The 16,270-nt window shown below is 38.4% G+C and overlaps 1 long non-coding RNA gene across 3 annotated transcripts in view; it reads right to left on the reverse strand.

The window, feature by feature from the left end:
- LOC107984901 (uncharacterized) overlaps positions 1-16,270 on the reverse strand; it is an 86,734-nt gene that overhangs the window by 49,375 nt on the left and 21,089 nt on the right. For 2 of the 3 annotated variants that reach the window (XR_001752185.2, XR_001752184.1), the window contains exons 2-3: positions 9,931-10,006; positions 7,655-7,792 (exon numbers count right to left, since the gene is read on the reverse strand). This is a non-coding gene — a long non-coding RNA (uncharacterized LOC107984901). The remainder of the gene's footprint in view (positions 1-7,654; positions 7,793-9,930; positions 10,007-16,270) is intronic. The other variant, XR_001752186.1, reaches the window with a different exon arrangement.

The raw sequence follows: 16,270 nt of genomic DNA on the forward strand, positions 1-16,270 counted from the left end.
TGCAGTCCCAGTTACTCAGGAGGCTGAGGTGGGGGGATGGCTTGAGCCCAGGAGGTCAAGGCTGCAGGGAGCCATGATTGTGTCACTGCACTCCAGCCTGGGCAACAGAGTGAGAACCTGTCTCAAAAATAAATAAATAAATAAATACATACATACATACATACATACATACATGCATACATACATACATACATACATACATACATAAAATTGGAGCAACTAGGGGAGGGTTTCATGGGGAAAAAAAGTAAACTTAGATTGGAAAGCATTATGGCATTTTGCTTACCAAAACTCATAACTCATAAACTTTCATGTAAGAAACTCAGAAAATTACAAATAGAAGGGAGCTCCCTTAACATGACAAAAGGCATTCATGAAAAACCCATGGTTATCATACTTAATTGTGAAAAACCAAAAGCTTTCCTTACAAGATCAAGAACAGGCAAGAATGTCTAGTCTTACCACTTTGATTCAACATTGCACTGGAAGTTTCAGTCAGGACAACTAGGCAAAGAACAAATGAACAACGTCCAGATTGACAAGGATGAAGTAATAGTCTCTATTTGCTGATGACATACCACGCCAAAAAAAAATCATTAGCACTAATACATGAGTTCAGCAGTTTGCAAAATATCAGATAAATTTACAAAAATTAAGTGTATTCCTATACACCAGCAATGAATTGAAAATAAAATTAGGGAAACTATTTCATTTATAATAGCATTACAATGAATAAAATTATTAGGAATAAATTTCATGAAAGAAGTGCAACACTCATACCTCTAAAACTATAAAGTGTTGTTGAAAGGAATTAAAGATCTAAATAAATGGAAAGACATCCTATAATCATAGATTGGAGACTTAATATTATGGTCAACACTCCCTAAATTGATCTACAAATTCAGTGCAATCCCTACCAAAATCTCAGATGGCTCATTTGCATAAATGGACAAGTTGATTCTAAAATTCATATGAAAATGAAAGGGAGTCAAGAGCCAAAACAATATTGAAAAGGAAGAACAAAGATGTAGGACTCACACTTCCAGAATCAAAAATTTACTATAAAGCTAGTGTAATTATGATTTTGTGAGACTTCTATAAGGATAGGCTACAGATCAATGAAATAGATGAGAGTCCAGAAATAAACCCATAAACTTATGGGCAATGATTTTCGACAAAGGTGCCAAGATAATCCAGTAAGTAGAATATAGTCTTTTCAACAAAAGGTGCTGGAACAACTGCCTGACCACATGCAAAGGAATAAAATTGAATCCTTTCCTCATATCACATACAAAAACTAGCTCAAAATGGATTTTAGACCTAAATGCAAGAGCAAAAACTATAAAACACTTAGAAGAAAATATAAGGACAAATTTTTGTGACATTGGATTAGGCAATGATTTCTTAAATATGACACCAAAAGCATAAGCAACAAAAGAAAAAAAGTAAATTGGACATCATCAAAATTAAAAACTTTATTGTTAAAGGACATCATCAAGACACTGAAAAACACCTGCAGAATGGAGGAAAATTTTTGCAAATCTTATATCTGATAAGAGATTAGCCTCTAGTATACATAAAAAACCCTTACAACTCAACAATATAAAGACAAGTAACCCAATTTAAAAATTGGCAAAGAATTTAAGTAGACATTTCATCAAAGGAGATATGCAAATAACCAATAAGCACATGAAAAAAATATTCAACATCATTAGTCATTAGGAAAGTACAAATCAAAGCCACCATGAAACACCACTTCATGCCCACTAGTATTGTTATAATCAAAAAGATAAACAACAAGTTTCAGCAAGGATGTGGAGAAATTGGAAGCCTTATACATTTTTCATGGGAATGTAAAATGGTGCATCCACTGTAAGAAGGCCCACAGTTATCATACTTAATGGTGAAAGACCGAAAGCTTTCCTTGCAAGATCAGGAACAGGCAAGGATGTCTAGTCTTACCACTTGTCACTTCCATTTTATCAATTCCTCATGATGGTCAACATAGAGTTTTCATATGACTTAGAAATTCTACTACTAAAGAATTCCATCCAAAAGAATTGAAAAAATATATCCATACAAAGCCTTGTACATGAGTGGTCATAGCAGCATTATTCATAATAGCCAAAAAGTGGAAACATCCCAAACACCCATCAACTGATGAATGAATATACAAGGTATGTTATATTCATATAATGGAATGTTACCCAGCTAGAAAAGGAAATGAAATATCCGTATGTGCTGTGACATGAATGAACATTAAAATTTTAATGCTAAGTGAAAGAAGCCAGTCACAGAAGACCACATACGTGTGATTCTATTTATATGGAATATCAGAATAGGCAAATAGGCATAGAAATTGTATCAGTGGTTTCCAGGGGATGCTGGGAAGGGGAGAATGGGGAATAACCAGTAATGAGTATAGAGTTTCTTTTTGGTGTGATGAATGTGCTCTGAAATTAGTGGTGATAGTTGCACAACTTTATGCATAAGCTAAAAAAATTCCACTAAGTTGTACACTTCAAAATGGTGAGTTTTATGGTATATGAATTATTTCTCCATTTTCAAAAATGGGCAGAAGCTATGAGATACCACTATATACCTAGAAGAATGGCTAAAAATAAGATGTAACTGGCAACGCCAAGTACTGGTAAGGATGTGGAGCAAATGGAACTCTCATGCATTACTGGTGGGAATGCAACATGGTATTGCCACTCTGGGAAACATTCTGATGGTTTCTTATAAAGTTAAATACAGACTTATATGACCCAGCCCTTCTACTTTAAGTATTTACCATCCCCCACCCTGCCACACACACACACCAAGAAATGAAAGCATATGTCCCCGTAAAGGCTGGCCATGTAAATGCTCATAGACAATTTATTTGTAATCACTAAAAGCTAAAACAATGCAAATGTTGTTTAATTGTCAAACATAAACTTTGGTACATCCATATGATGGCATACCACTCAGTCACAGAAAAGGAATGCTTTATTGATAAATGCAGCAATATGGATGGATTACGATGACATTAATGAAGAGTGAAAAAAAGTCTCAAAACATTAGATTTATTTTTCCATTTACATGACATTCTGAAAAAGACAAAGTGTAGGGATGGAGAACAGATCAGCAGTTGCCAAAGGTGGATAAAAGATTTGACTGCAGGCCGGGCGCGGTGGCTCACGCCTGTAATCCTAGCACTTTGGGAGGCCGAGACGGGCGGATCACGAGGTCAGGAGATTGAGACCATCTTGGCTAACACGGTGAAACCCCGTTTCTACTAAAAATACAAAAAATTAGCCGGGCGTGTTGGCGGGCGCCTGTAGTCCCAGCTACTTGGGAGGCTGAGGCAGGAGAATGGCATGAACCTGGGAGGCGGAGCTTGCAGTGAGCCGAGATCGCGCCACTGCACTCCAACCTGGGAGACACAGCGAGACTCCGTCTCAAAAAAAAAAAAAAAAAAAAAAAGATTTGACTGCAAAAGAGTATCACAACGGAGCTCTTGGGGCATGATGGAATCCTGGCTGTGGGAGTGGTTATGAGAATCCATGCACATGTTAAAATTCATCGACCTGTATATGCTACACACACACAGAGAGAGCTTACAAACACAAAAGAGAAGAAATAAAATAAAGGGTACAGAATAAATAATCCGAGACTTCACAAGATGCCAACATATATCCCTTCTTAAGATTTGTAATCTAGATGAAGAGACAAAATTAACAAATTCTAGAGAGCTATCACTAAAAAATACTAATTCCTATCATTTGTCAAGCATTCACCCTCTGTCAAGCTCTTTACTGATACTTCTGTCATCTAATCCTCTCAACATTATTATGAGGTAGATAAATAGTGTCAAAGCCAAGAGTGATCCAACATCCAGCCTACCAAGCATGTAAAGACAGAAGAATGGTTTCTATCTCTTTATAGTCTCTGTCAGAAACTGGAGTTCCAGGAACACAGTGGCATGTCATTTGTCACAACTGGTTTGTTGCTTATGAAGATGTAAGGGTGTTTTTTAATGTGTATTCCTCATCATGACAACAAAACCGTCTCAGCAAGAACTTAAGTGATGATTCATATGTGCTCATCATTTCTTGCTGCCACGTGGTACCTGACACCAAATGGCTCCTGCTCTAAATAGAAATTATTGGCAACTTCTCCCCATGAGGAATGAGAGGTAATTGTCTAGTCTGAAAAATTAGATTGGTGCAATCAGAAAGGTAGTTAAGGCACAGCCAGGACTGCAGAAACTTCCCTATAGAAGAAAAATATTGTCAACATGGTAAAAGCCAGAGATTATAATGTTACTAAACCATGAATATAAACTTTGTGCAGCATCTACAGTCAGTGCTAACTTTCAGCATCATTTAAAAGCAACTGTTTTCTAGAAAATAGAATTTTCAGGTAGAGTAAGAGATCCAGTCCTAACTCAAACTCTGATTTTAAGATGTCATGCCCCTGCTCCAGAACTTCCACCAATGACCCTTTGTTTACCAAGTGAAGAGCCAACAAACCTATCTGGGTTTCGAAACCCTCCCCATTCTGCCTTCCCTTGACCACGTGGTGGAAAACTCAGCTGCCGTCTTCCCCAAGTTTTACTTTTTCCAATCTCAACCCCTGGGGCCTGATGGTCTTCTCAGTTTTCCCGGTTATTCCCCACATTTCCTGGGGAAGAACTATGATTGGCTACCCTTTGGTCAGATAACCATGCTTAGACCAATCAATTGTGACCAGTGAGGCTAACACAGCAGTACAATGCTGTGGGAGCAGAGCAGAAAAAGCAAAGCAGTGGTTCCAATCCAAAAAACACCTGTCTTGACCAGCCCTACGACTCTCCCTCCTCTGAATGCTTTGTTAGGATAGCTGACATATACTGAATACTTACTATATACTAAGCACTTGAGACCATTTTCATTTAATACTCAGTGAGATAACTGTTATTATGTCCGTTTTAAATTGAGAAAATGGAGGCATGTAGAGGTTATATAACTTTCCCCAAATCACAGAGATAACAGGTAATAGAACCAGGGCCTGTGCTGTGACCAAGGTGACTTGTTGCTAATTTTTAGAGTATATACTACTGAATCAACTCTGGGCACTAACATACCTTTTAAGGGAATTTATCATTTCACATTTATTCTTATGTTTCCAGCTAGATTGTGGAGGGAAGCTAGGTTTTTTCTCTTTCCCTATACCCCACACCTTAGCCCCAGATATGCCCTGCAATCAAGACCCGAGAGTGCAAGGTCCCCAGGTGAGATATGATAAGCGCCTGCCAAGGAAGGAACAGATGGGTCTGCTAAATGGTGAAATCAAGTCCCTGCCACATGAACGGCAATAAGCATCCCACATAAAATAATTATTTCTGGTTTGCTTGGCAGGTTGGATGAAGTCCGAGGGAAGGTTAATTTATCTTTCACAGCTTTGAGCCTTCAAGCTGTGGTTTCCCGAGTGAAAAGGATCTCTTTTCAATGATTCTTTGCAAGATCCATTTAGTCATGACAGAACTACCTCCTCCTCAATGAGTCACAAAGTTTATTTGGGGTCCCTTTGCTGGCTAAGAACCACGATGTAGGGATGGGCTATTTAAGTCATATGGAGATGTACATGTATAGCGAAGGTCTGTAGTAGAGTAGGTAGGATACTAAAATAGCTTCAAGTTTTAGATGCCAATTAGCTCTACCATGTAAAAGCTGTATAAGGATTGTCTCATCTGTGGAATGGGTATAAACATATATGGCTAATCAGTTTAGGAATACGATGAATATTAAATGAGATAAAGATTATTAAATAAAACTTGGAATGATTAAGGGTGCTTAGAAACTTCAAGAAACAGAATCCAGACATAAATGGAGCCTTTTGATCTATGCTGAAATGGCAAAGCTCCCGGTTTTCCCTGCCTATTAATGCTTCTGACTTTCTTTCTCACCTCTGTTTTCTGAGGCCCTCCCTTCCTCCTCTTAGGTCCTAACTGTTAAGGCTTTGCATTGCAGGATCAGAAGAACCAGTATTTTTATGTGTCTTTCAATAACCAATTGCTTACTTCCATTGAATGGTAAAGGTCTAATGTTGATAAGAATTCAGTGCCATCATTATGAATATCTGATCCAACTCAATTCAGTCTCTTTTTCACAGAAATTTAGTTTGCTCAGGCAATCCATGGTGGCCAAAGACAGTTCAAGGATTTCATCTCCAAAATGCCTGATATAATGCCCCAAAGAGACACACACTCAGTCCTCATTCAGTCTTGCTTACTCTGCCTGGGACAGAAACTATTCCCTACTTGTAGCGAAGCAGGTAATTTCACACGCTGGGAAGAGAAACATGTAATGGTAAATGTTTTGAGATTTGTCAGTGATGAAAGACATCCAAAAGTCTTTCTAAAACATAAACAGTCATAATTGCAAAAATAAAAAAGAAAAAATATTTTAGTTGATTTTAGTTGGAAAATAGTTTTAGCACTTACATTGTAAGATGACGTGTGTTGTTTCAGTAGCCTTACCCCCTTCTGTGAATAACACTTTCTGTGCATAACCTTCACCCATCTGTGCATCCCCACAGCAAATCCACATAGTTTGCTAGATATAGAATTCATGGTCAACGGTTCATTTATTTCAACACTTGAACAATATTGCATCACTTAATTCTAGCTTCCATTGTTTCAAATGAGAAGTTTACTGTTATTTGAATTGGTGTGCCCCTATAAATAATGCCTTGTCTCTGTGGTTGCTTTAAAGATTTTTTCTTTGTCTTTACTTTTCAGAAGCTTAATTATGATATGTGTTGGTGTGGACCTGTTTGTACTTATTCTGTTTGGGGTTATCCCAGCTTCTTGAATGTGTAGTTTTATGATTTTTACCAAATTTAGACAGTTTTAAGCCATTATTTTTCCTCAAATACTTCTTCAGTACTACTCTCTTTCCTCTCCTTCTGGTACTCCAATGATATAAATGTCCACTTTTTTATTATTACTCCACAGGCCCTGAGACTTTGTTCATTTTTATTTCATTCTATTTTCTTTCTGTTGTTTAGACTGGGTAAACTTTATTGATCTATCCTTAAGTTTACAGAGTCTATCCCTTATCATTTCTCTGCAATACCATTGAGCCCATCTAGTGAGCCTTTCATTACCGTATTTTTCAGTCCTATAATTTCCATTTTGCCCTTTTTATAACTTCTAATTTCTTTGCTGAGATTTTCTACTTGTTTATTTGTTTCAAGAGAATTCATAATTGCCTGCTAAAGCATTTTAAGATGGCTGCTCAAAAATCCTTATCAGATAATTCCAGCACCTAATTCATCTTGATATTAATATCTATTGATTGTCTTTTCTCCTTCAAGTTGTGTTTTTCCTGTTTCTTGGTGTGATGAGTAATTTGTATTATGTCTTGGACATTTTTGATATTATATTATGAGGCTCTAGATTCTATTTACTCTTCTATTTTAAGGAAGACCTCTCATGGCAGTGTAGTGCAAGGGCTAGGTGAACGTGTTCAGCTTTCCCCTGGGTTCCTTCCTTCAACACCACCCCAAAAATGAAGAAATGATTAATACTACCTCACTGAAGACAGATGGGGTAAAAGTTCAGTTTTGTCCTCAACCCACTGACATGTCCCTGGCAAAAATAAGGCTCCAATTCAAATCAACTTACTGCTTTTAAGTTGAAGTGTAAGCTCAGATCCCTGTTGGGCCCCACTGACACAGAGGGGAAGGAGACAGATGGTTGAAGTGCCACTTTGTTGTTACAGCATAAGAATGGAAGTTCTGCTTCTTGCTGGTTACTGGGGAACTGTGAGGAGTGAAATGTCAATTAGCTCCATGGTCTACCACTCCATTCCATCATATTGATGACAATTGGGGGTGAAGACCCATAAAAGGGGAGCAGAAACCAGAGTGCTGACTGGCCCTGCCTCACACTGCCTCATTCAGTCTTCTTGTTGCAGGTGGGTGTGGGGATTCAGCTCTCCACTGAGCCTTGTGGACATTGGGAGTTGGGAGAAGTGGAGGTGGGATGCTGACTAGCTCCAATACATGCTACCTTATTCAGTCTCATTGACGCTGGGTGTGGGTAGAGATTCAGCTTACCACTGGACCAGGTCAAACACTGTAATTTGACCCCCAGTGGTTTATTTAAGGAGGGACCTAAATTAGTCCAAGAGAACTCATTATTGGGATTTTGTGGGAACAATTGGGAAATATAGGGTTGTTAAGAAGTCCTCCCTCTTTCTGCTGCACTTGAACCTATGAAGACATCACCTGGTGACTGAGGAGACTATAGACTCATTTGGTTGCTTTATGTAGCAAACATAGAGGTTAGGAACATAGATTTGATTTCAAAGTCTAGCTCAATTATGAGACTGTGGGCACAATATACTACTGAATGAAATGGAGATAGTGAGGGTACATCTCTTACAGTATTATTTCAAGTATTTGATAAAGTAATATATGTACAGAAGTTCCACCAATGCTTGGCATGTCTTGAATTCTCACCAAATGGAGGTCATGATGAATAATTGACAATGTTGTTAATAGCAGGCCCATGTCTTCCACTTTCTTTTGTCTCTCGTAGGACTGAGTTCATGGTAAGTGCTTAATAAATATACCAGCATGAACCAATGTATCAGAAATGACCAGTTTAAACCTGGCCAACTCAATTTCATGTCCCACTGCAATACTTGTTTTAATGTAAAGATTAGAGCTAGGTGAAAAATTGCATTCTCATAATCTGCTGTCACACAACATAAAATCACTCTGTCTTCCACATTGGTCTCTCCAGAGATTCCTGTATCAAAAGAAATTTCCCATGGTACTGGCATGTATTTCTGATCTTTTAGATATCATGGAATTTCTTTTTCTACTACACTAACACCCTATTAATCTATTTTGCAGAGTGTGACATCTTACCTGGTCCCATTCCTATTTATCCTATCATGCTTTTGTTAACCTAGAGTAGTACTTCTCAACTAGAGGATACTTGGCAATGACTGAAAACACTTTTGATTGCCACAACCAGTCGGGGAGGGTAGGAGTTGACACTACTGGGATCTAGTAGTAGGGGCCAAGGATGCAGCTAAACATCCTACAATGCACAAGATGCTTCACCTCCCCCAACAAGGAAGTATTTGGTCTAAAATGCCAATAGTGTTGAAGTTGTGAATCCTTCCATAGGGGCTAAAATCAAGATTATATTTTCAAGATATTCTTGAAGCTAAAGTTCTACTTGTAGTCAATTGAAAAGCAGAAGTGAGATCCATGAGACCACAGTTGTAAAGTCCTCCTACAAACTCATCACAGAGATGTTTAGTTCTGCCAAAACCATAATTCTATTTCTAGTATTTGGTCCTTAGTTTCTGAGTGTTCAGTGTTAGATAACACCATCAAGGTTTCTATTGAAAATATCCCGCCTTATGTTATTCTTTTTTTACTCGGGTTCTTTGCTCCCAGCTGTGTGCCTTTAATCTTGTTTCTCTGGCCCTCCTAGAAATTCTTAATAACCTATAATAAATCCTTTACTTCTTAAATTAGTTAGAGTGTATTGCCTGCAATTAAGGACATTAAGTGATACAATAAATTATTATAGACAATCAATCTTCAAGAAATCGGGAATAAGAGATTGATTATAGGAACATGTTGAGTTTGAAGCCAATACAAATCCAGTTAGCATTAGAAGATGAAACTCTTGTAAGGTTTTGGAGGACTAAGTGTCAGCTGCTATGGACTACTACAAGGCACAAGGAATGAAAAGACATGAAGTGGGTTGGTGTGGTGGAATAAAGATGATCACAAGTTATTTGTCACTCACCCATCTATTCCCTCATTCCCTTGAAACTGGTCTATCCCTGTTACTTGACCCAATGAATAGAAATATAACAAGATTAATTATTTGTAACTTCAAAGGTTAAGCCTTAAGAAATCTATAATACCTACCTTTACTTCTTGGAGCACTCCTTTTTGGGATCTAGCCACCATGCTATCAGGAATCTCAAGCAACCGTGTTGAGACGCTACAGGAAGTAGAACAGAGATATCCTTAGCTGACAATCTCACCTGAACCCTTAACCAACACCCACTATCAATTCCCAGGCATTTTTGTCATTTATCTTAAATATTTCAGCCTCTGTTGACCCTCAGATGATTGTAGCACCAGTGGTCACCACTAAGCCCAGTCAATACACAAAATTGTGAGAGAAGAACTGGTTACTGTTTTAAACCACTAAGTTTTGGAGCAGTTTGTTACACAGCACTATATAACCAAAATAGCTGACTACTTTTAATTGCACTGGCAATCTCAAAAAATAAAACGACAAGTTCAGTTTTAAGTTTGCTATTCAAGGCACAGTCAGAAAATCAGAAGGTTTCTATGACTAACCTAAAATAATGTGGGTACAAAAATAAGATGCTAATTCTAATCCTGTGGGTTGCTCAAAATTTCACATAGATTGAATAAACAGCCTCACTGGATGACTTGAATACAGGCTAGATAAATGTTTGAGAAAAAATAGGATGTTGAGAACAAGAATCATGACATTTGGGGAAGATCTGAATAATTCTGAGAACCTCCAACCTTCCAAATCTGACCATTTATTGTAAACAGAAGTAGCCCCTCTTTCCCTGTCTGATGAAGCTGGCCCTGCCTCCTAGAATAACCAATACAGATATATTATAAGATATTTACTCCCACAAGAATATCAATTGTAATTTTGCATCATATAAGATATTTACTCTCCCAAGAATATCAATTAGAATTTTGCTTCAATGTACTACCTCTCATAGGATCCAGACTAAAACTAGAGTGAGATCTCAACATGCCCTGAGGCATCAGTTGTAGAATAAAAACCAGGGGAAAAAAAAGAGATGCACTAAAAGAACTGAAAGCTTATGCTAAATTAGGTCAGAAAAAAACCTGGAAAATATATGTGATAAGATCATACATCACAGAGGGAATAACATAATTCTGAATAAGGCTGAGTTTCATGCTATTAGTTTATTTACCAGAGATTCTAAAGTCAATGGGCTCACTCAAGCAGATGAGAGTGGTTCCAAATAGCTGATAGAAATCTTGACTCAGTGGTGGCCTATTATAAATAAAGTTGATAGTCATGTAATTCGTTAGTATAATGTAGAAGGAAGACTCCAAAGATAGAGATAAAGGCATGTTTGAGCAAATTTATTATACTTCGTTCACTCACCCACTTTTGAGAGGGTTCAAAAACATTCTGTTTAGCAAATCATTGAGAAACGCACTGATGAAAGGAGTGGCAGGACTCTTAAGAAACACTTCAGTGACTGCACTCTGTAAGCTAAATGTGAGAATTCAAGATGCTGCCATTAAAATGGACTTTCTGATTCAGAACAAGCGGAAGCAAAATGGGCATGACTACAATAATAGTCACTGTCTTCATCTATTTTGTGTTACTGTAACAGAATACACGAGACTGGGTTACTTATAAACAATAGAAGTTTATTTGGCTGGTGATTCTGGAGGCTGGAAAGTCCAAGAGCATGGTGCTGGCATCTGGTCAGGGTTTTAATGTTGCATCATCCCACAGTGGAAGGCAGAGGGTAAGAGAGTGCAAGAGCAAGAGAGCAAGGGGGGGCCAATCTTACTTTTACAAGTCCATTCTCATGATAACTAACCTACGCCCAATCATGACATTAATTCATTCATGAGGGCAGAGTCCTCATGTCCTAATCGCCACTTATCAAGTTTCACCTCCCAACACTGTAGCTTTGGGGATTGAGTGTCCGACACATGAACTTTTGGGGACACATTTAAATCATGGCAGGCACCATGACTGAGGAGATGATCAGAATGGTTGGATCCATTGAACTCTAGCAATGACCAATTGATCATGGGGTTCTTAAGATAGTTCATTAAGATCCAACTTGATCTGTATCATTGAAAAATTGCACATCTGGTATTAGAAGCTCAACTTGAATTAGCATGACAGAAGATAAAGGTTATGACCCAATTCTGTGGCCTAATTCTGTTTACAGACCCGGAATCCTTTGAATAAAAGAGAAACCCAGTACACTTGATGAAGAAGACTACAATTATATCCACAGTTATGTATTGCAAGTATTACCTCTATTGTTCCCCAAAGGAAACTTTGGCTTCAAACATTATACTATGCAGTGGAAAAAGGAAGATACACAGACCCTTGCAGTGCATTGGACTGAGTTATTGCGAATTATTGTGAATTCCTGAGGACTAATTGTGGACCAAAGGTTGGACTGAAACTGATAAATAGAGTTTATGCCTGAGCCTTCTAACAGTGGGTTCATTGGATACATTAACCCAATTTAGTTATTCTCCCAGTTCCTGAGTTCATAGTAGGAATAATATTCTCAGAATGCCTGCGGAATGAGAGGTTTATCGGAGAAGGACCAAAGGGAAGTTCCTACAGCTCTCTTCCATGTAATAATAGGTAGCCAAAAATAGTTCCAATTCCTACTAGAGTGCCAAGATTAAGGCCATCAACAAAATCTTAGAAGATCTACCTTATCATTGTACCATGTACTTTGCCTATTTAATCTGTGTGGAAGATAGATGGATCTGGAATAATTACAGTGGATTATTCTAAACTTAGTAAGTTTTTTACTTCAATTATAGCTACTGTTCCAGATGTAATCTGTATTAGTCAAAGTTCTCCAGAAAACAAAATATATAGGATATATTGTTAATATTGCATTATAGTAGTTAAGTTACTGGATGTGAATAAGTGTAAACATAAATCAAAGACTTTATCTCCTCTTTTGGGGAAGGAGTTCATGTGTTTTCTGTTGCATGCAGGATAGTTGTATCGTGTTATGTGGAATTATGACCTTATTATTGCCTATTTGGAGACTAAGTATGATTTAAGGGATGCATATGAGTGCCAAGTTAACAAGAAGTGGACTTCTAAGAGTTAACTTTATATTTCAACTTGACTGGATCATGGAATGCTCAGATATCTGGTTAAACATTATTTCTGGGTGTGTCTGAGGGGATATTTTCACATAACATTAGATTTGAATTGATAGACTGAGTAGCAGTTTGCCCTCCTAAATACAGGTGGGCATCATCCAATCTGTTGAAAGCCTAAGCAGAACAAAAAGGCAAATGAAGGGATAATTTGCTCTGGCTCTTGACTCTGGCTCTGTCACCCTAGTGCTTGAGTTGGGGCTTGAATCTTCTCCTGCCCTTGGCACTCATGGTTCTCAGGTCTTCAGACTCAAACTAGAATCTATACCATTGGCTTTCCATCTCTCAGGGCTTCTAGCTACAGCATCAGCCTTCCTGGGTCACCAGCTTGCAGAGAATAGATTGTGGGATTTATCAGCCTCCATAATCACTGAGGGTAAATGTGAACAAATATATGTGAATACACACACACATGCACACACACAAACACACACACACGCACTTCTATTGGATCTGTTTCTCCAAAGAACCCTGACAAATACTGATATTGGTACTGAGAAGTGGAGTGGTGCTACAGCAAATACCCAAAAATGTGGAGGCAGTTTTGGAACTTGGTATAGGGTAGAGGCTGGAAGAGTTTTGAGATGCATGCAAGAAAAAGCCAATATTGCTGTGAAAGGACTTTTAAAGGTAATTCTGGTGAGGGCTCAGAGAGAAAAGAGTAGAGATGTAGAGAAAGCTTCCATCTTCTTAGATAATACATAAATAATCATATACAGAATGTGGATAGAAATATGAACAGTTAAGGCCATACTTTTGGGATCTTGATAAAAATGAGAAGCACGTTATTGGACAATGGAGAAAAGGAGATCCTTGTTATAAAGTGGCAAAGAGTTTGGGTGAATTGTGTATGTGTTCTAATGTTTTGTGGAAAGCAGAAAGAGATAAAATTCGAAATTTAGCTGAGATTTCTTAGCAAAGTGTTGAAAGAGCAGTCTGACTCCTCCTGACTGTTTATTACAAAATGTGAGAAGAGAGAAATTTCTTGAAGACAGAATTGTTAAACAAAAAGAAACCAGAACTTAAAAATTTGGAAAATTCTCAGCTTGTTCATATAACAAAAAGTAAGAAAGTGTGTTCAGAAAAGAACACCAAGCAGGTGGCTGATTGAACTTTCCATAGGGAGATTAGCATGGGTATGAACCACTAACCTAATCAGCCACCTCAACAGGGGCCAGGAATAGAGATGGGGTCATACCAGCAAAGACACTGTTCATTTGAACTAAAGGGGACAGAAAAAACAGGATGAAATAAAAAAAAAAAAGCTGTCAAAATTCTTAAATTCTACAAGACCAGACCACAGGGATGTTTGGCTGCAAATATTATTCAAGACAAGGGAAGAATAACCTTGAAGGCAATTCAGAGATCATCGAGGCTGCTGCTCTCACCACAGGCCCAAAGTGTACATGCCTTTAGAGAGTACAGATGCCTCCATCTCAATTTCAAAGGCCAAGACCAACACCCAAGACCAACATCACCTGCATCCCAACAGGTCACACAGAGATGTCCAGAAGCTGTAGAGGTGGGACCACTTGGAACCATGGAGCAGAGCCACAGGCGTGTGAATTCCCACCCAGCAGAGCTGTGGAGGTGGGACTGCTGCCCAGTGGGCCCAGAGGACAGAGTATTTAACCAAAAAAGATTATTCTCACTCCTCAAGATATAATGGAATTTATCTTGCTGAGTTTTAGACCCCCAGCCCATCATCACCCCTTCTTTCTTTCCTATTTTTCCTTTTCAAAATGGGAATGTCTATCTTATGCCTGTTCTACCATTGTATTTGGAAGCACATAACTTGTTTGGTTTTACAGGTTCCCAGCTAGGCAAGAATTTTGCCTCAAAATGAATCATACCTCAAGTCTCACCCATAACAGATTTAAATAATATTTAGGGAGAATTTGTACATAAGGCTTTAGAGTCATGGGGGCTGTTAAGATAGGATGAATGTATTTTGCATGGGAGAAGGACATGAATTTTGGGAGGGTGAAATGTTATGGCCTACATCTTTGTGCCACCTCCCAAATTCATATGTTGAAATTCTAATTCCCAAAAGGATACTATTCGAAGGTGAAGCCTTTGGGAGGTAATTAGGTTTAGATAGAATCATGAGAGTGGAGCACCCATGAGAAGATTAATGTCCTTATAAGAGGAGAAAGAAATAAGAGCATTTTTTCTTGACCATGTGAGCTGATTGTGCATCATGAGATATGGAGTGAGAAGGCAGCTATCCACAAGCCAGAAAGCAGGCCCTCACCAGACACTGGGTCTGTCAGCACCTTCATCTTGGACTTCCCAGCCTCCAGAACTATGGGAAATAAAGTGTTTGTTGTATAAGTCACCCACTGTATGATATTTTTGTTACAGCAGCCTGAACTCACTAAGACAGAGTCTTTTTAGTGGAATAAATCAATACAGCCCCTGGCACCTATTGTGTAGATATCGATCTGTCTAATGCATTTTGCTCTATCTCAATTAGCAGAAAATACCAGAAGCAATTACTAAGTAACTCGTAAAACTGACAATTTATAAGAAGATTCCGAGCAAGAGAAGGCTGTCCAGCTAGTCCAGCTCAGCCAGTTAAACTTTATGATTCTGCAGATCCAGTGATGTTTGATTTGTGGTGGCTTCAGATGCTATATAAGGCTTGAGTCAAGACATGTTAGGAGAATGGTAGTTGCAACCCTTAGAGGTTGGTAGCAAAGACAGTCTCTTTTCAGAAAGTTGATGCTCTCCTTTTAGGAAGTTCTTTCTCAAAGCTCCTGAATGTCAAGAAGCCATGCAAACTGAGCTGTCTTCATGAAGTAGGAGTTGTCAGCTCCACCAAGCTATAGTGTCAAGAAGACTGTGCTGCATTCTATCATCCAGGAAATGTGGTACCTATGGAATTGGACTTGAGGAGATCTTTAAGGCATACATTATTCACAGGAGCCTCACACTCTCAGTATATTCACTCCTGCCCATTGCAGCCTCAAGACTCTTGAGAAATCCCTATAATCATTTGGCTAAGAAGGAAAATCGAGTCTAATCTTTGGTGCAAGTGAGAAATGGATTGCTGTGGCTTGTATCCCCACTAAAGGATGGCCTTGAAGGACAATGGAGAAAGGAAAGTTTTCCTGTAGACAGAATTTTAAGTAGTCAATCTCATGATGTGAAGTCCAGGCTTTCAAAAAGAATGAGATTACAGGATCAATAAGAAGTCAGTTTTAATGAAGAAAGGGCATCTCTAAATGGATCCAGAATATGAAAGTACTTGTGTCCCATACGAAAGCTCAGCAAAGAGCCCCATTGTGTAGGAGGTTCTCAA

This window comes from Homo sapiens, chromosome 16, assembly GCF_000001405.40.
Source record: "Homo sapiens chromosome 16, GRCh38.p14 Primary Assembly".
Classification (NCBI taxonomy): domain Eukaryota; kingdom Metazoa; phylum Chordata; class Mammalia; order Primates; family Hominidae; genus Homo; species Homo sapiens.